A 20,782-nucleotide genomic window follows, 5' to 3' on the forward strand; every position below is an offset into this window, starting at 1 on the left:
TGTGGTGAACTTGCAGGTTTTTTACATAGGTATACATGTGTCATGGTGGTTTGTTGCACCTATCAACCCATCATCTAGGTTTTAAGTCTCGCATGCATTAGGTATTTGTCCTAATGCTCTCCCTCCTCTTTTCCCCACCCTCTGACAGGCCCCGGTGTGTGATGTTCCCCTCCCTGTGTCCATGTGTTCTCATTGTTCAACTCCCACTTATAAGTGAGAACATGCAATGTTTGGTTTTCTGATCCTGTGTTAGTTTGCTGAGGATGATGGTTTCCAGCTTCATTCATGTCCCTGCAAAGGACATGAATTTATTCTCTTTTATGACTGCATAGCATTCCTCACATAGTGTATATGTGAGGCTAGTTCCTTCTTATTACACAGTCACCATCTTGAACATACTTTCCCCATCACTCCTCTTTTTAATGTCCTTTTCTAGGGTAGCAGATGTCTCTTGAAAGCCTTTGTCTTCTCCTTTCACTTCCTTATCCCTAAAAACTATCACCTGAAGCTTGAAAATGTATTTTTTCTCTCTCTTCTCCCTTTTGTCCTGTTCAGAATCTCTATACTTGCAGACCTGAAGCTGACCTGGCTTGAAGGAATTCTTCCTTCTTAGAGGTCATAGTGAATAGTTACACATGATTCTTCATTGTTCTTGTTTTACAATAATATTTTCATTCCTATGAACTACAGTTATTGAGAATGCTTACACTAAACAAAAGTTTCTTAACTTTGAATCTTTTCACTGAGTTTCTTCAGTTCTATTTTGGGATTGAGCTTGGTGTGGATTAAAGTATTATATAATCGCCAGGGGTTGGGGGATCAGAAGATCTGCTCCTATTGGATTCATCACCTTGGAAAAATCACTGAACACAAAGATTATTTAGTTGCTTGACCTGTAAAATAAGCAGGGATTAATTTCTGAGGCTAATTACTGAGAAGGTGATCTCTGAAGTGTCTGGCTTTGAAATTTTGAATAATTCTTTCTAGGCCTTAGGTGGAGGAGAGTGCTTGGCACCATCTGTGTTGCCTGAACAAGTCAACACCACTAAAGAAAGTTCCTTTTTCTAACATGATTTTTCAGTGCAAATGCAGAATGTTTGGTCTTATATTGAGTCATGAAACATGTCAAGGATGGTTTATCATCAGTCTATAACAAGCATAAAAACATTTTAACAGTTTTAAGGGATATTTCATTCGTCCTGCACTTCTCGATTGTCATAGCTTCCTTTTCTTCCTTCTTTCTTTCCTTCTCCTTTTGTTTAATCTTTTCCATGGCAACTACAACTTGTGATTCCTAACATTGGCTGACTTTACTGTAACATGTTCCCACACTGCATAACTTTTCATGAACTATTATGAAATATTTCCGTAACGACACGAAATATTCATGTGTACATCAAGCTTCTACCTTGAGGTAACTTTTGTGTTTCAGTGTCTCCACGGACTTTTTATTTTGGTGACAGATGTGTTGAGATAAAATTTACATATCTCACAATTCACCCATCTGAAGGATATAATACAATGGCTGTTAGTATATTCCCAGAGCTTTTAACTATCACCACAATCAATTCTAGAATATTTTCGTCTCCCCCAAAAAGCCTCTATGCCCCTTAGCAGTCACTCTCCTTTCCTCATTCCCCAACCCCAAGCAACCACTGATCTACCATCCATGTCTGGATTTGCCTACACTGGACCTTTCATAGAAATGAAATCTTACCATATATGTTTCTTTGTCACTGGCTTCTTTCACTTAGCATGTTATTAATGTTCATCCATGTTGTAATACTCATCAGTATTTCATTCCCACTTATGGCCAAATAATACTCTATTTTATGGATATAGCATATTTTGTTTTTCCTTTGATGGACCATAGCTTTCTTCCCCCCACCCCTATCTTCCCAAACTTAGTCTGAGAATTCTGCTAAGAAATGTCAACCTTTCAAAAGCCATCAGACCCGAAACCCACAGCTGTTTCCTTTACCAGAATCTGCCTTATCCGTAGGTTGGAAGAGCACCCCCAAGCTGTTTGTGTGAAGAATACATACAAGCCAGTTGACCCTTTGTTAAGAACAGGAGACTTCTCAGGTGGCACAGGCTGGAATTGGCTTTATCACATACTCTCAAGCAACACTTAGCCTCTTTAAGCCTCGGTGTTGTCATCTTCAAAATGGGAATTATACTGGTACCTTTCTATGGCAGAGACTGCTGGTCAGCCCTACTTACCGCTCTCACTTACAAAGTTGATAGAACCCCATTTTTTGACTAGGCATATGGCTGTCCAGGATGGAGACTGCATTTCTTAGCCCCTCTTTTAGTTAGGTATGGGGCCATGTCAATACCTTCTGGCCGATGATCTGTGAGCAAAAGCATCATTTAGCAGCTCATAAGATCCTTCTTTAAAAAGCATCTTGAACTTGCCCTTTTTTTCTTTTTGACTTTGTCTCTTCCTCTCTCCTCTGTGGAAGCTGATACTGTAATCTCAGATTATGAAATCAAGGTCAAGAATACAATAGCTATGAAATAGAATCTGATCCCTGAAGTGGAGGCTATAAGTCACAGAACCTTAGCTTGTGACATAGGATTAGTTGAAGTGGCAGGCAGTAGGTGTGAAGATACAGATATTGCAGGTTAACAAAAAGGAACCTGATTATGTCCTTTGTGGGGACATGGATGGAGCTGGAGGCCATTATCTTTAGTAAACTAACACAGGAATAGAAAACCAATTACTGCACGTTCTCACACGTAAGTGGGAGCTATAAGTTGGCACAAAAGCAATTGTGGTTTTTGCTATTAAAAGTAATGGCAAAAAACCTCAATTACTTTTGTATCAACCTAAATAAATGATGAGAACACATGGACACATAAAAGGGAACAACACAAACCGGGGCCTATCTGAGGATAGAGGGTGGGAAGAGGGAGAGGATTAGGAGCAGTAACTAATGGGTACTAGACTTAGTATCTTGCCAATGAAATAATCTCTGCAACAAACTCCTGCGACACACATTTACCCATGGAACAAACCTGCACGTGTACCTCTGAACTTAAAATAAAAGTTAAAAAAACACAGATATTGCAGGCCGGCCAGCTGCTGAACCTTGCTAGGTGGTGGCAAAACTTTTGATAAAAACTGTTCCTTGAGTGTGTGGGGAGCAGACCAGGACAGATTGGGTCTACAGCATTAGGAAACTGGTGGGAAAATTTTGGCATGCAGTGCTCGTCGGCTGGTTCTTGACACTTGACGTAACAGAGATGATCTCTGGCCAGAGTTGGTGGTGTCTGAAAATCTAAGTCAACTGAGAGTCCGATAACCGGGGGCCTGGCAGAGTGGAAAGCACTCATTCCATTTGCACTGCAAACTGAAGCAGTGGCTCACGACTGAGGGGGCAGCTTGACCAGGAGATAAGTTTATGGCTGCAGGCTTTTCTTAAGCATCTTCTATTGAGAGTTGACTGGCAAACACCACCATCGGCAAAGTAAAAAGGCAAAAGACAGCTGGGCGCTGTGGCTCACACCTGTAATCCCAGGACTTTGGGAGGCTGAGGCAGGTGGGTCACGAGGTCAGGAAATCGAGACCATCCTGGCTAACACGGCAAAACTCTGTGTCTACTAAAAATACAAAAAATTAGCTGGGCGTGGTGGCAGGAGCCTGTATTCCCAGCTACTTGGGAGGCTGAGGCAGAAGAAATGCTTGAACCTGGGAGGCGGAGGTTGCTGTGAGCCGAGATCATGCCACTGCACTCCAGCCTAGGTGACAGAGCGAGACTCCGTCTCAAAAAAAAAAAAAAAAAAAAAAGACAAAAGGCAGCACAGATGAGATTGGGTGCTGCCTTCCCTCTACAAGCCTGTAGTTCAGATGGTCTCATGGTGGCCAGTATGAAGATGAAAGAGAAGGGTATGGCATGCAGGAGCTGGTGAGTAACAGACCAGAGTGGGGTTGGCAACCCGGGCAAATCTACTGAACAAATCTAGCTTGCCACTTGTTTTTGTGTGACCCTGAGTTAAAAAATGATGAAAAAAAATTTGTGGACATTTGTTTTCTCTCTTATTACATAAGTACCTACATAATATCCTTGATTTTGCCTTTTGGCCCAGAAAGCCTAAAATATTTACTATTTGGCCCTTTACAGGAAGCATTTGCCAAACTCCAGACTAGGGTCTTAGGCGTAAATATTAGGTCTAGATAGGATCTTGCACACAGAGTGACTGACTGCAGGCAAATACATAGGTAAGAAGTTTGAGGGAATTTTATTGCTATAAGCAACCACTATCTTCCCTGCAAAAGCCTGTAATTGTTCCATCCTTCCAGCAATGCCCCTGATCCCCAACCTGTATGAGCAGAAAGTAGGCTATGCAAGCTGGCAGCCTCCAAGGACAGCACACTCTCCAAGGCCTTCCCCACTCTTCCAGCATGACACACACGGTGCCAGATGGGCCACCAAGCAACTTACTCCACAGCCTAGGAGGGGCCTTCTCAATCCTTGCCCTGTGGGATTTGAGAAACTACAATGGCCAGTGACTGCCATGTGCTTCCTGAGCCTCTCTGTTACTGACAGTAGTCTTATTTGCTGTTATTGAGTGTTACTCCATCATTGCACATTGAGTTTATGCATGTGTGTCCTTTAGTTGATAGGCCACTGAGCTATGGGCAGCCACATGTGTTCCTGATGGAAGGGACTGAGTATCTCCCAGAGATCCTGGACACGAGGAGACATGCTGTGAGTGGATGTCTGGAAGCCAGTCCTGAGAGAGAAGACTCTAAATCCAGAATTTCTTCAGGCATTTCAAACATTTCTATGTTGTGTGCATTATATAAACAACACCTATATAACTTGTCTTAAGAAAATAAAAGCAACAAGATTAACTGATCCCTTGGAGTGCATATTGGGCCATGGGCAATGTTCACGGGCTCCCTTCAAACTCTAGAAACACAGAGGATACAACTTTTACATTTTAACACACAAACCTCAGGGGCTCCATCTCAATCTATAATCACTCTTGGGAAAGGGGTGAATTTGGTCACACTGTTTTGTGCTTCTAAAGTTTTAGATTTTTTTCATTTTTCTCATGCAATATTTTAAGATAAAATATCTTTACTCTTACTTTTTCTCCTTTGAGGGACAGGTAATTCTCATTAATTAATTACACAATCATTAGAATTATATTTTAGTAAGTTTAGATATTAGAAAAATAGTACCATCAATATGGCATTATTGATAATACCACCAATAATAACCAAAAATAATACCATCACATTGGTTCTTACATGACCTAACATCATTGTTAGTAACATCAATGTTACTAACGTCACTGTTAGGTCCTGTAAGAACCACTGTGATTACTCAAGTCCTTTTTAATATTGATTTTTAATGGCTACAATCATAATATACACAACATTTTATGTATTTTTAAACTAAATATTATGAAAAATAAGCTATGTTTTTACATAGTCTTTTAAATTGAGTGTTTGAATGGCTGTACCTTGTTCTCTGCAGTAGAGATCTGTGCTCTAGGCATCTATTGCCATGCAACAAGCCACTCAGAACTTAGCAATTTAAAGCCACAACAATCATTGTATTATCTCTCCTGGTTTGTGTGTGTCAGAGGGTTAGGAAGAACTTGGCTGGATGGTTTGAGCTCACAGAGTTGCTGTCACAACTCTGGCTGGACCTGGGCAGCTGGGGGCTGGGGGTGCCTCCTCTCTTTTTATGTAATCTTAGAGCATCTCAGTGTGGACTTCCACATGGGCCAGTTTGGGCTTCCTCACAACATGGCAGCCTCAGGATGCTGGGACATCTTATGTGATGGCTCAGGGCTCCAGCACAAATATTCTAGCAAGCCAGGCAGATGGTGCATTGTCTTCTGTGACTTTCACATAGCACCCCTTTGGCTGTACCCCACTGGCTAACTAGCAATCAAGGTCAGCCTTGACAAAGGGAGGGGATATGTCTCAGTGGTAGAAGGAAGGAAGAGTTTGCAGATATTTTAAAATTGCCACAGTTCCATAACTAGTTTAGGTGTTCTTTTTTCATTGGACATTTTTTTACTTGTTTTCTGCTATTAAAAAGAATGTGACAAACATCTTCATGTATATAGCTTTTCCCATATTTTGTATGAAAGTAGAATTATTAAATCAAATGATATAATCTTTCATATGGTTCCTGAAATATATTGCTACATAATTTTCCAAAAGGATTATGTCAATTTATAATGCTATATGCAATGTAGATGACAATATTTTTGATACACAATTACTGGCAATATAAATTACCATTAGACTTTTATTTTGTTAATTTAATATGTACAACGTGTACCTTAATGTTTTTTTAATTTGCATATTTTTATAATTGACAATGTTTTCTTTTGTGTTTGTAAATTTATTTTCTTATTGTCTTCTGCTTTATTTATTCGGGTCTTAGCATTCATTGCAAGTTGCATTAACTTTTTTTTCACCAAGAATTCTGAAGACAATCAAAGCATTAACTTTTATGCCTCAAAAATATCAATCACTTCTATACTGTATTTGTCAAGTGTATTTTTTCTTTTGTTAATAATTTTCCTTTTAGTGTGGGTATTTTAATTTTTCTATCAAATCTGTTCATTGTTCTAATTTATTTTATCACATATATAGTACTTAGAAAGTCTTTTATCCTCCAAACTTTCCAGATGTACTAAACTGTCAATTATGAGCATCTATATTTGTATTTTCGTGATTGTAGCTTTACATTGAACTTCTTAATTCATGTAAAATTTATTTATTATATTAATTGTGTCTAAAGTCATTCTTCCCCTATTGCTAATCAGCAAAACCAATATTATTGAGTATTTCTACCTTTATGTTTATTGATTTATGTCTTTTTATATGTATTATGTTAAATTCTTATTTTCTAATATAATCTAATTCTGGACTGTATATTCTATATAAATTAGTCTTTAAGTTGTTTTTTTTTTTTACTATGCTTACCTGTTTTTTTTTCTCTTAGGTGAACTTTAGAATTAATATGTACTAAGTTTGAAGAAAAAATTTGAGAATATGATTGATATTGCCTTAAAGCTTGAAATTCATCTTGGGAGGACTTTGCAAAATTTAGTTTGCAAATACAGATGCATTGTGTATCTCCTCAATTATTAAGCTTGTAAAGAATGCTTTAATTTATAGTACTCTCTACCTGTGTCTACATGCTTGATTTAAAAACCAAGGTTTCTTCACTTCTTAAGGGCTACCTGTAATAGACAGATACTGGACCGGGCTTATGCGTGATAGTCTTTTGATTGATGTTCATGCAGTCAGGTTTCTCTTGAGTAATCCTTTCTTTCAGTTCTTTCTTTATTACTTCCTTCCTTTCTTTTTTTTTTTTTTTGCATTTTATTCAAAACACCTACATAATTTTTGTTTTAAAGTTTTTTTGTTACACCTGATGTTCAGAAGCCAAACAACAGTTAGAGTTGATGGGGCTGGGGAAGGAGGGTTTGCAGATTTCATTCTTAAGAAAGAAGAGAAGGCCAGGAGCGGTGGCTTACACCTGTAATCCCAGCACTTTGGGAGGCCAAAATGGGAGGATTGCTTGCATCCAGGAGTTCGAGACCACCCTGGGCAACAAAGCGAGACCCATATCTCTACAGAAAAATAAAAATAAAAATAAAAAAATTAGCTGGGCATGGTGGTGCACGACTGTAGTCCCAGCTACTCAGGAGGCTGAGATGGGAGGATTGCTTGAGCCTGGGAGATTGAGGCTGCTGTGAGCCGTGATTGTACCACTGCACTCACCCTGGGTGACAGAGCGAGATCCTGTCTTAAACAACAAACAAACAAACAAATAAACAAAAGAAAAAGGAAGTGAGGGAGCAGAGCTGGTAGAAGCTGAAATAGCGACAATTTTCTGAGATTATACTCATGGGGTTCAAGATGCATGTGCAATCCATGTCTCTGCTGGGGCCAACACAGTATGTCATAGAAAACGACCACAACAGACATGCCCCATCTGGAAATTCTTGACAAGCTTGGAAGCCTGGGCCCTTTCCTGCTGCCATCCAAACAGTGAGAAGGCATTGATGCCATCTGTTGGGCAGAGGGGCCCGTAGGCTGCCCACATCATGGGATGTCAGGGCACCAGGAAGGGGCCACTTCCTAGCCTGTCAAATTATTCCCCTTCTCCCTACTAGATCACATCTGAAATTTTTTTGAGGAGAACCTAAATATTTTACTCCATAGTCAGAAATGAGGGGCAAAATGTCTGGGAGAGAGGACCCTTAGATTGAAGTGTAGATAGTGAATAGCACATCCTCTTCTATCTCTGCAAGCAGGTGGGCATTCGGAGTGTGAGGACGGATCGGGTAAGTCAGGGTTATGATGACAGGCAAAGGGGAACAGAGCGAAACACAGGGAGGACATACATCCATCACTCCAGATACACATTTGCTCTCACTGGCTGGGTTTGTGGAACTGGGGCATCTGGAAAGATGTGTGGGCAGTCATGAAGGCATGCAATGGCTGATGGTCCGGCTGCATAAGCCCGTGTTCATTTTAAATGTCCGGATCTCTGAAAGGCAGACACATAACAGTCACGCCTCTCCTCCAGCAGGATGACCCCACGGTGGAGCCATTTGAATTGACAATCAGTTCCAGTAAGCACTGAGAGGGCTAGAAGCCTTATCCAGGAAAAGAGAGAGAGAGAGAGAGAAAAAAAAAGAGAGCCAGGAAAAAGGGACCAAAGTGGGAGGGAGGAAGAAAGGGGAGCATAAAAGTCTCAGAAGTTGCCAAACCAGCCATCATCGTTACTGTGCACTGAGGAAATGGGATTCACACTCCATGTCACCACCAAAGTCACCTCTGCTGAGTGTCACACTGAAGTCCGCGCTCCAGTGAAGGCCAGCCGAAGCCGATTCTTGTTTCAGGCAAAACCTCCCATTTAACGCTGAGGGAGCACATATATCACACACTATTAAAACTGCCAGTTTCCATCCCTTTCACACCATTAGTAGAATATATATATATCATTAAAGGAAGTGAGTTACAATATAAAAATATGGTAATTCAGACTGGCAGGTCACAACTGACAGCACATTCAGGAGGCTGCTTTCCCGAGCTGTCTCTAGAGACCCTATATTTAGCAAAAAGATGTTTCCCAGAAAAGTTTTCATAAATATTCTCCATGGGGGAAAATGTATATTTATCACTTCATATAAAAAGAAATCTAAAACAAATGTTTTAGTAGCTGACTTCTCAGAAATTGGATGGATATTTTTAATCCATAGCTGGGAGAATTTTTCTTATAAACTTGATAAGAGTCAAGAACTGCTGTAGCCTGGGTACCCACAGTGTTATTAGTGGAATTATCCTTATTTTTCCCCCTTCTTTGTCCTCTCTGCAGCCATACTGAATACCCCATGTTCTGATTCTGGTGTTGGAGAGTGCATTAATCATGTTTTTAATTCCATGTATTTTATGATGCTTTGATATCTTGGGGCTTTGCTGACTGGGGAGAGACTGCCCTCCTGGGGCTAGCTAATTCCTAGAGATAGCAAATGACTCCCCTGTGAGCACAACTTCCATATGCAAACCAATGAATCCAAAGCCCATATTCCCCAAACACCTACTTTATGAGGCAACTTTCCCTCTGACCTAATCAGCCCGGGGCCAGGTACAACTCAGACAACTCAAGACAGCCCTTAGGCCCCAGAGCCCGCTGAAACGATGCAAACTAGCCAGTCCTAAACCTGCAGAGCCTGGATACCCTGCCTTGCCCATTCCCTCCCTCAAAAACCTAAGTCTCTCACCCACACTTTCTGCTTGTCCCCTCCAGCCTCCGGACTGACCTAGGGCATCCCCTGCTGCCCCCAACCCCCATGGTGTGGCATGCCCCTTCTCTTAGGAACTGTGAGTAATAAGCTATCTTTTCCATTACAATCATCTCCTAATCTGTTTGCCTCACTAGAATGGAATAATGATAAAGCCGTTGTTTCAAAACAGAGAGGTGGAAAAAGATTTCACCAATCTGCTCTCCAATGGCTCACAGTATTGGATTGAAGGATTATCCCTTAAACTGCATATAAATAATCCCAGCTTGCCACTGCTGTGTCATATTTGGTCTCAGTTAAAATGAGACTTTTATGGCTCAGTGGGTCATCCTGCCTACTGTCTGAGGAGAAACATACATTGATGAAAAGCTTCAGAATCCAGCTGCTCCAGGAGAGAAGCATAAGGAAAATGAAATCCAAAAGGCTGACGTTAGATAAGGCAGGCCAGGCACTACGGGAAATTCAGTGAGAAGAGAAGACTACACAGAAAGAGGCAGATTGGGGGAAAAAAGAGTAGCACTTGCTGCAGGTGGAATAAGGTGGAGCAAATATGATTCAGCAGATTCCTTTTAGGCAGAGCACGGGGTTCTGATGAATGCCTTGCAAATGAGCTGGGCCATAGGTTCGTTCCCAAGTGTGGCAGGCCAGGTCTCACTAATGCAGGCCTCCATAACAACTGTTTTAGTACTCACTGAGCAGGTAAGTGAAATATTAAAAGTTAAAAGAGCTAGTGCCCTTATACAAAGGCTGGAATATAACAAAAGCTCGCCAAGAGTTTTGCCCAGATCTTTCCTGGGCCTTAAACCATGAAAAGATAATGAAGGAATTCTTAACGGGACTATTTAGGATTAAACAAGTTTTATTTGGGGGTCTGAAGAAACTCCCCAGGCCTCCACAAACAAGTTTATTGGGGGTCTGAAGGAACTCCTTAAACCTGCAGGTTAAGGGTAATCACCTAGCACCTGGACCCATTTAGATTAAGTAAATTTACTGAGGCTCCAGGGGAAGGTCTTCAAGACTCAGACCTTAGCTATTGTAGATTAAAAGAAGCTATCACTTATGTCTTTAGAGGAATGCATGCTTACATTTAGACATGTAGCTTAGAAGGTATATAAGCTCTGGAAAACTTGGTAATTTTGAGTTGGTCTGGCGATATTTTCTGAGCCTTCTCCTGGTAACTGGTTACAGAAATAAAAAAAGCTCTCTTCCTCCCTAGTTCATCTACATCTCGTTATCAGGCTGCAAGAAATAGCAGCCCGACCCTCAGTTTGGTCTGGGAGCACAGGGACACAGGTAAAAAATGCTGAAGTGGCTATGTTAGGATGTCACGGTTTTTAGGGTAAGCATACATGGAGAATGGGCTTCACTTCCTTAGTGTGAGTGCCCCATGGGGTACATTTAGGGGCTATGTGAGCCTCTCTTCCAGGAGGCACTGACAGAGGAGTCATCCCCTAGAACCTGGAGGCATTTGCCTGGAGCAGCATACGCTGGAAGGGAGGTATTTTGAAGCTGGTTCCAAGCAGAGCTGAGAGATTGTGCAAAGGCAAGAGAGAAAGGGAAGGGGAAGGGTTTACACAAGGCAATTATATGTACAGATTTTAATTAAATTTTTAAAAATTGTGGTAAACATATAACATCAAATTTACCATCTTTACCATTTTAAGTGCACAGTTCAGTAGTGTTCAGTATATTCATGCTGTTGTTACAACAGATCTCTAGAACCTTTTCATCTAGCAAAACTGAAACTCTGTACTCATTGAAAAACATTCTCCTTTGCTCAACCCTCCAGCCCCTGGGAACATTATTCTGCCTTTAGTGTTTACAGGTTTTACTGCTCTAGTTACCTCATATAAGTGGAATCACACAGTTGTCTTTTTGTAACTGGCTTATTTCACTTAACATAATGTCCAACTTGTAACGTGACAGCATTTCCTTTCTTTTTAAGGCTGAATAACATTCCTTTGTATGTGGACACTAAATTTCCTTTATTCATCCATAAATGGACACTTGAATTGCTTCCACCTCTTGGCTATTGTGAATAGTGCTGCAGTGAATGTGGGTGTGCAAATATCTCTTTCAGACCCTGCTTCCTATTCTTTTGGATAAATACCCAGAAGTAGGATTGCCAGATCATATGGCAGATTTTCATTTTAAAGATCATTCTAGTGACTGGGTATAAAATAAATGGGATGGGACAAACATTGGAGGTAGGGAGACTTGATTGAAGAGTTTAGGCAAAAAATAACAGCTTCTTTTTTATTGTTTTTATTTTTTATTTTTTTACTTCAATAGGTTTTTGGGGAACAGATGGGGTTTGGTTACATGAATAAGTTCTTTAGTGGTGATTTCTGAGATTTTGGTGCACCCATCACCCAAACAGTACACTGTATCTAGTGTATAGTCTTTTATCCCTCACCCCCCTCCCACCCTTTCTCCTGAGTCCCCAAAGTCCATTGTATCATTCTTATGCCTTTGCATCCTCATAGCTTAGCTCCCACTCACGAGTGAGAACATATGATGTTTGGTTTTCCATTCCTGAGTTACTTCACTTGGAATAATGGTCTCCAATTCCATCCAGATTGCTGCAAACGCCATTACTTTGTTCCTTTTTATGGCTGAATAGTAGTCCATGGGATATATATATATACCACATTTTCTTTATCCACTCTTTGTTTGATGGGCATTTGGGCTGGTTTCATATTTTTGCAATTGTGAATTGTTCTGCTATAAACATACATGTGCAAGTATCTTTTTTGTGTAATGACTTCTTTTCCCCTGGATAGATACCCAGGAGTGGGATTGCTGGATCAAATGGTAGATCTATTTTTAGTTCTTTTTATTGTTGTTGCCCAGGCTGGAGTGCAGTGGTGCAGTCTCAGCTCACTGTAACCTCTGCTTCCCAGGTTCAAGTGATTCTCCTGCCTCAACCTTCCCAGTAGCTGGGACTACGGGCATGGGCCACCACGCCTGGCTAATTTTTGTATTTTTAGTAGAGATAGGGTTTCACCATGTTGGCTAGGCTGGTCTTGAACTCCTGACCTCAAGTGATTTGCCCACCTTGGCCCCCCAAAGTGCTGGGATTACAGGCATAAGCCACCACACCTGGGCTACTTTTAGTTCTTTAAGGAATCTCCACAGTATTTTCCATAGTGGTTGTACTAGTTTACATTCCCATCAACAGTGTAAAAGTGTTCCCTTTTCACCTCATCCACACCAACATCTATTTTCGTTTTTATTTTTTTGATTATGGCCATTCTTGTAGGAGTAAGGTGGTATCACATCATGGTTTTGATTTGCATTTCCCTGATCATTAGTGATGTTGAGCATTTTTTCATATGTTTGATGGCCATTTGTATATCTTCTTTTGAGAATTGTCTATTCGTGTCCTTAGCCCACTTTTTGATGGGATTGTTTGTCTGTGTTCCTTGGATATTAGTTCTTGGATATTCGTCCTTTGTCGGATGTATAGATTGGATGTATAGATTGAGAAGATTTTTCTCCCACTCTGAGTAAACAAAGGGTTGTCTGTTTTCTCTGCTGATTATTTCGTTGTGCAGAAGCTTTTTAGTTTAAGTCCATCTACTTATCTTTGTTTTTTTGTTTGTTTTGTTTTGTTGCATTTGCTTTTGGGTTCTTGGTCATAAAGTCTTTGCCTAAGCCAATGTCTAGAAGGGTTTTTCCAATGTTATCGTCTAGAATTTTTATGGTTTCAGGTCTTAGGTTTAAATCTTTCATCCATCTTGAGTTGATTTTTCTATATGGTGAGAGATGAGGATCCAGTTTCATTCTTCTACATGTGGCTTGCCAATTATCCCAGCACCATTTGTTGAATAGGGTCTCCTTTTTCTACTTTATGTTTTTGTTTGCTTTGTTGGAGATCTGTTGACTGTAAGTATTTGGTTTTATTTCTGGCTTCTCTATTCTGTTCCATTGGTCTATATGCCTGTTTTTATACCAGTACCATGCTGTTTTGCTGACTATGGCCTTATAGTATAGTTTGAAGTTGGGTAATGTAATGCCTCCAGATTTGTTCTTTTTGCTTAGTCTTGCTTTGGCTATGTAGGCTCTTTTTTTTGGTTCCATATGAATTTTAGGATTTTTTTCTAGTTCTGTGAAGAATGATGGTGGTATTTTGATGGAAATTGCATTGAATTTCTAGATTGCTTTTAGCAGTATGGTCATTTTCACAATATTGATTCTACCCATCCATGAGCATGGGATGTGTTTCCATTTGTTTGTGTCATCTATGGTTTCTTTCAGCAATGTTTTTGTAGTTTTCCTTGTAAAAGCTTTCATGTTTTTTGTTAAATATATTCCTAAGTATTTTATTTTATTTTTTTTGCAGCTATTGTAAAAGGGGTTAAGTTCTTGATTTGATTCTCAACTTAGTTGCTGTTGGTGTATAGCAGTGCTACTGATTTGTGTACATTGATTTAGTATCCTGAAACTTTACTGAACTCATTTATCAGTTCTACAAACTTTTTGAATGACTCTTTAGGATTTTCTAGGCATATGATCATGTCATCACCAAATAGAGACAGTTTGACTTTCTCTTTACCAATTTGGATGCCCTTTATTTCTCTTGTCTGATTGCTCTGCCTAGAACTTCCAGTACTATGCTGAATAGAAAGGAAATAATAGCTTCTTAAGCTAAGGTAGGAAAGGTAGAAAGAGAGGAGTGAATGGATCGCCGGTAGAAAGATCCTGATTGTGCTGCCTCGTGGGTGAGTCAATAGTGGGGTTCAGGTTTCTGGTTTGGGTAGCTGGCTGGATCACCGAGTCTGTCACTGTGGTAAAAGCACAGGAGGAAGAGGTGGATTGGATGCTAACTGTGTTTTGGAAGGAGACTCAGGCAGCAGTGGGGGAAAGCCTGGAGATGTGGAGGCCAGCTTTGCAGTCCCAAAGAGTGTCTGGGCCTTGGTGGCAGCAGCAGAAATGGAGAGGAGAGCCCAGACCTGTGCCTGGTGACCTGTTGACTGAGGGGCCTTACAGGAGAGATATAATTTTGACAAGATTTCGAACAGATGGTTGGTGATAGGAGACTAAGCTGCCTAAAATATTTATAACAAAATTTTTATACTTTTAGATAATTTGGTTTTAAGATATCTGTGAAATATATACAGATATCTAGTTGAGAATAATAGAATACTAGTTTAGTACTTTTTTATACTTAAATAGTGTTTTAGTACTTAATTATAAGTTTTAATTAAAGCTTAGCGCAGGGGTCAGGGCTAAAGATACGGATTTAGAAATCAGTCATCAACATGTAGGTGAGAAATGAGGTCACAGGATAAGTACAACTCTTTTTGAGGCAGCATCTTTCTCCGTTGCCCAGGCTAGAGTGCAGTGGTGCAATCATAGCTTGCTGTAACCTCCAACTCCTGGGCTCAAGTAATTCTTCTGCCTTAGCTTCTTGAGTAGCTGGGACTACAGGTGCATACCACCATGTCCAGCAAATTGTTTTATTTTTATTTTTGTAGAGATGGGGTCTCACTATGTTGTTGAGGCTGGTCTTGAATTGCTGGCCTCAAGTGATCCTCCCACCTTGGTTTCCCAAAGTGCTGGAATTACAGGCATGAGCCACTATGCCCAGCCTGATAAGTGAAATTTAAACTTAGGAAGGCAGAATGGAGGGTTAAGGGTAAAGCTTGGTAGAACACCAAAGTTAGGAGCAAGTAAAGAAAAAAGAGCCAGAAAGGAGAATGGAAAGGGCCAGAAATGAAATAAAGGAGAGAGAGATGCTAGAGAATCAAAGGAAGGAAAACAAAAATACGGCAAATAAGACTTTTGGGGTTGTGGCCAATTCTGGGCTAAGAGTGTGTGAATAGAGCTGACATACAGGGAGTGCTGTCCTATCCCTACCTTGAACCATTTAATTAGCCTGTAAACACAAAGTTTTCCCAAGTTGATGATGTCATATTTCTGTTTCTCTGTATAGACTAGTGGTTCTCAATCGGGGGGAAGTGTGATTTTGTCCCCCTGGATGATACATTTTTGGTTTTCACAGTTTGGACAGTGGTGCTATTGGCATGTAGTGGGTAGAGGCCAAGAATGCTTCTGAACACCCTATCATGCGGGGGATAGCCCCCAAACAAAGAACCATCCAGCTTAGCGTATCAAGTGACAAAGCTGAGAAACCCTGTTCTAGACTTTGTTGGATACACTCGTTCCACACATCTTTTTAAGGCTTCAGGCATTGTGTTTACAGTGAGAACTGTCTGCCACCACATGGCATCTAGCTCTTTCTAGTCTGTGGTCCATCCACGGGGCCTTTTTTGAAAGTGAATATTTGAAAGATTCTAGCTACCAGTCCACCTTTTCAACCAACTCGATCTGTACATTAGTACAGTAATTTTAGAAATACTTTTTAATACACGCCATAACAGTATTAAGGAAAATTTATTCAAAGAATGTAACATCTGAACTCAGCAAGGTTGCTCTTTATATAGTAATCCCCCTCCCAACTGCTGCTGTAAGTGCACTCACTGTAGAGTCTAGGAGTGAAAATGAGTCTTCCTTGAACTCTCAGTATTCTTTGAAGCTTCAGTCCTGCTGATAGTCCCAGGCCTGTTGGTTACAGAGCCCTACGTTCTCTTTAGCTTAGCTTATTACACTAGAGGGTTTTTCTTTCTTTCTTTTTGAAAGCACTAGCTAATGACTCCATTTCCTAGAAACCAAATGGTATTAATTCCTACTGCTGGGTGGCCAAGCTTCCTGATTTTCCTACCTATTCCTGTGGGGCCTGTCCCCAGGACTCATTTCTGCTCCATCAGTGGCATGGAAGGGGTGCAGCAATGGGGGATGCTGTGTGTTCACACCATCTCTTGCCCATATGTTCATCTCCCAACTCTCAGAGCTTGAGGCTGGAGAGTCTGCGTGGGGCCTCTACAGCTGGGGTAGAGCCTGCTCTGCCACCTGTCTAGTGGATAAGACGTGGGCAAGTGACTCAGTATTGTTTTTTATGCTAATTTCCTCATGTAAGATGAGAATAACAGTACCTCTTGCAAAAGCTGTTTTTGGTAAATACATGTGAAGTGCTCAGAGCAGAGCCTTGCATGTTGCAAGTCCTCAAAATAATGGTAGTGACATTAGTTATTAGATACCGTTTTAGTTTCTTAGGGCTGCTTAAAAGTGCACTACAAGTTGGGAGGCTTAAAATAATAGAAATTTATTTTCTCATAGTTCTGGAGGCTAGAAGGTCAACATCAAGGTGATGGTGGGGACACGCTCCCTCTGAGAGCTCTAGGGAAGAATCCTTCCTGACTTCCTAGCTCTGCTGGTGGCTGGCAATCCTTGGCATTCTTTGGCTGGTAGCTGCATCCCTCCAACTTTTACATCTGTCTTCCTGTGGCTTTCTCACCTGTGTGTATCTGCGTAGCTCCATGATCCCCCTGCCCTTGTAAGGACCCCAGCTATTTAGCCTGAGGGCCTATCCCTTGTCCAGTGTAACCTCATCTTAACTAATTATATCTGAAAAGACCATATTTCTGAGTAGGTCATATTCTGAGGTTCTGGATGGACATGAATTTCAGGGGACATTATTCAACCCCCTATAGCACTATTAAGGTTAATCAACAAATTCATATTGGTTTAGCAATTGCTTCTGTTAAGAAAAACCTACTGAGATGTTTAAATTTTTTAGACACACTTTAAAAGCTGGTTCTTTGAAACACTCTGTCTGTGATAGCCTGCACACCATTCTGTAGAGATAATTTACAAAAAATCAAAAACAGTGTTTGATTCAGACTTTGTCTCGCATGAGAGCTGGCAAGGAGAGGTGGAGTGGGCAGAGGAGGCTTCCAATTCAGCCCACCACCTGTCTACTGACAAGGTGACAGACCTCCATGCAATCAGTTCAGGCCACAGCAGCTTCTGTAATGGAAGGAGTCACCTTTTTGGCTTATGCTAAACAGAGCTGGGCCTTTGCGTTCAGAACACTGAGCCCCACGGTGCCCCAGTGCGGCATCTGAAAGCATGTAGTAAGACAATGGTGCCTGCCAATACTCTATTTATGAGCAGAAAAGCCACACATAGATCTCGTTAGGCCGGGTGTTCCCTCCCCCAGGTTTCCCACGTGGGAGAGACTGCCAGGCACACAGACTTATCTGTGCATTCCCTAGCATATGCTGCCTAAAGTTTCTCCCTGGTCCCAGTCCAAGGCACGGGCTGATATCCTTTTCATTCTTGTCATGTGTGAGTCCCAGGTGATGCTAACAAGGCAATATCTGAACATAGTCAAATATATAAATACCCATTTAACTTTCACAGAACACACCTGAGAACATTCAACCTTTTTATATTTGTTGATGATGGTCCTAACAGGCACATCTTCAGGAAGGGTGGTTTGTGAACCTCTATGTGCAACACAAATCACCTGGGGATCTTGTTAAAATGTGGATTCAATTCAATATGTCCCGGATGGGTCCAAGATTTTGCATTTCTAGCAAGCTCCCAGGTGATGCTATGCTGCTTGTCTATGGCAGGAGCAATGGGTAGTTTAACTAGCAAGGCTCTATGCCAATGGCCCTACATAAAACCTTCCCCAACAGGTCTGTAGCCCAGTGAAAGGGTACTTTTGGAATAAAGCTTATGGAATCTGAGGGTGAGAAGTATACTCACTGTCTGAGGGCTGCATCTATGTGTAGAGGAAAGAATGCCAAGGCAGACACTGGGGAGCAGGTATTGTATTGTCCTTGCTTTGCTACTGACTAGCTACCTAATCTTGGATCCATCATTCTGCCTCTCTAACGCCTCAGTCTATGAACCCATGCAGTAAGTGTAATAGATGTAATATCATCTTTAACTACCTTTCATTTGGGGTTTTTGAAAATTAACTTAGGTGATGTATTTTCAAAAACATTGTGAAAAGTGCAAAGCACTATTAAAAACAAGTTATTATTTCCCTCTAGGCTGTCGAGAGAACAAGAAACTGGGATTGGTCCCAGCAGAAGAGAGCTGTGACCCAAACAGCTCCATTCCTGGTGTCATTACATGCCTCTTTGAGAAATGCACCCTTCAGAGTGCTCCAAGACAAAAACATGCTCAACCATAAAGATTTTATTAATAATTTCTAGCAATTTAATGTATCTAGCGTTCACTCAGCTCTTTGTATGCACAAGACATCATGCTTGGGTTGTGGATGTGTCAAGATAACTAAGGCAGAGCTCTGGCCCTGGAAGATTTTAAGCCTGTGGTAAGAGACAGAGTCCAGTGCAAGGTAGAGAGTGGACCCATGTGTAATGGGGGTGGCATCTCCACTGTCTAGTGCCACTGAAGTATCCTGCTGGCTTGCTTCTTCCACTTCCCACCACTGCTGCTTTTGTGCCCCAGCCCCCATTTCTGGGAGTCTTAGGTGCATCCTGGGTAATGAGAGGCAGTGTTGTACAGTGGTGGAAACCAGGGACCTGAAGCCAGACTGCCCACGTTTGAAGCTCAGCTCAGATTCTTTATTTATTTACAGGTTATTTAACCTCTTTGTGCCATGGTTTCCTCATCAGCACACTGGAGATGATATAGGAGTAAAACTGGCTCTTCACATTCATGGTATTCTGTATCCATGGATTCAACCGAGCATGGATCAAAAATATTTGGAAAAAAAAAAGCAATACAAAATAACAATATGACAGTAAAAATACAAATTTAAAAATACAGTAAACAACTATTTATGTAGCATTTACATTGTATTAGGTATTATAAGTAATCTAGAGATGATTTTAAGTATACGGGAAGGTGGGTGTAGGTTACATGCAAATACTGCACCATTTGATATAAGAAACTTGAACATCTGTGGATTTTGGTATGGGGTGGGGGGTCCCGGAACCAACCCTCCAAGGATACCAAGGGATGACTGTACTTACTGCTGAGGGTTGCTTTGAGGATTTAATAAGTACATTAACATAAACACACAGTTGCACACACAACACAGTAAGCTCTATGGTTAACTAGTATCTTAATGTTGAATATAAAGAAAATCCACACAAGACAATGAGGGTGGGGCTCAGCTGGTGATGAACACAGGCAGAGCACAGGCTGCTGAGGGTGGAAGGCTCCAATAACACCATGAGATAAACACCGAATGGGGCTTCTGATGTGGACAGCCTGGCACATTATGTGGTAATTCGTGACTCCAGGTGCTGGCTTGGCTTTCACCCTCTGGTGAGGCTCACCTGCCACCCCCTGGCACCAGCCATCTGGGGCCTGACTCCGGAGCTGCCCCTCCTCTCACCCTGAGCCCCCAGACTAGAAGGTGTATCTCTCCTCCTGATGTCTTTTAAGGTTGCTGTAAGAGGATGGGTCCTGAATGGCCTTGGCGTTTGCGGCTCCCCCCAGCCTCCTGCTTACAGTTATCAGAATAACTGTAGAATACACTTAGAATGCAACGTCCCGAGGCAAGGAAGAACTGTCTAAAACAGCTCAGGCTATATCCTCATTCCTCCTAGAACAGGATGTCTTGTACTGCTTGAGCTCAGTGATTCCAGTTATTCCTAGAGTATAAAATTCAGGGTGGAGCATTTTTGGAGTCCCTTAATTGCTATATAATGTGGGTGAGCACGGAAGAGACCTCATCCACCCTGGGCAGTTTTCCTGAGCTCTTGGGAACTGGTTCAGTGGATCCTAGGCTTTTGTTTATCATTGGTGCCTATCTGTGAGTAGTAAATTTGCTTTGCCTGACATGTTGTTGCTTTTCCTGACAGGTTGTATGAATGTTATTTCTTTCCAGACTCATGCAAGTGGCAGAGAACATTTGCACTCACATCTCATGGCCCTCCCTCTTGATGACCTTCTTCTTGTCTCCCCGAGGATAGAATGAGTTGGAAATAGGGTGGTCTTCTTTTCTCTCTATTCTCAGTCCAATTCTATGGTGGTGCATAATACCACAATATACTTATCTCAGACCTTCTTATCTTGGATCATCTGCTGTTTTAGCAGTAAAATTTATAGACATTCATTCTCTCTATATAACAACCCTATATCTCAGGCAAAGTGG

General features: G+C 41.2%; 2 long non-coding RNA genes across 2 annotated transcripts in view; one reads left to right on the forward strand and one right to left on the reverse strand.

Annotated features, from left to right (window-relative positions):
• Positions 1 to 4,865, forward strand: part of LINC01191 (long intergenic non-protein coding RNA 1191) — a 58,761-nt gene extending 53,896 nt beyond the window's left edge. Inside the window, exon 2 of the long non-coding RNA NR_148509.1 lies at positions 4,624 to 4,865. This is a non-coding gene — a long non-coding RNA (long intergenic non-protein coding RNA 1191). The remainder of the gene's footprint in view (positions 1 to 4,623) is intronic.
• A 13,985-nt stretch (positions 4,866 to 18,850) lies between these two features.
• LOC124907876 (uncharacterized) lies at positions 18,851 to 20,110 on the reverse strand. The gene is made up of 2 exons (XR_007087206.1): positions 19,962 to 20,110; positions 18,851 to 19,343 (listed from the first exon to the last, which is right to left on the reverse strand). It is a non-coding gene; the product is annotated as an uncharacterized LOC124907876 (long non-coding RNA).
• Positions 20,111 to 20,782: the final 672 nt, after the last annotated feature.

The sequence above is a fragment of the Homo sapiens genome, chromosome 2 (genome assembly GCF_000001405.40).
Source record: "Homo sapiens chromosome 2, GRCh38.p14 Primary Assembly".
Lineage (NCBI taxonomy): Eukaryota > Metazoa > Chordata > Mammalia > Primates > Hominidae > Homo > Homo sapiens.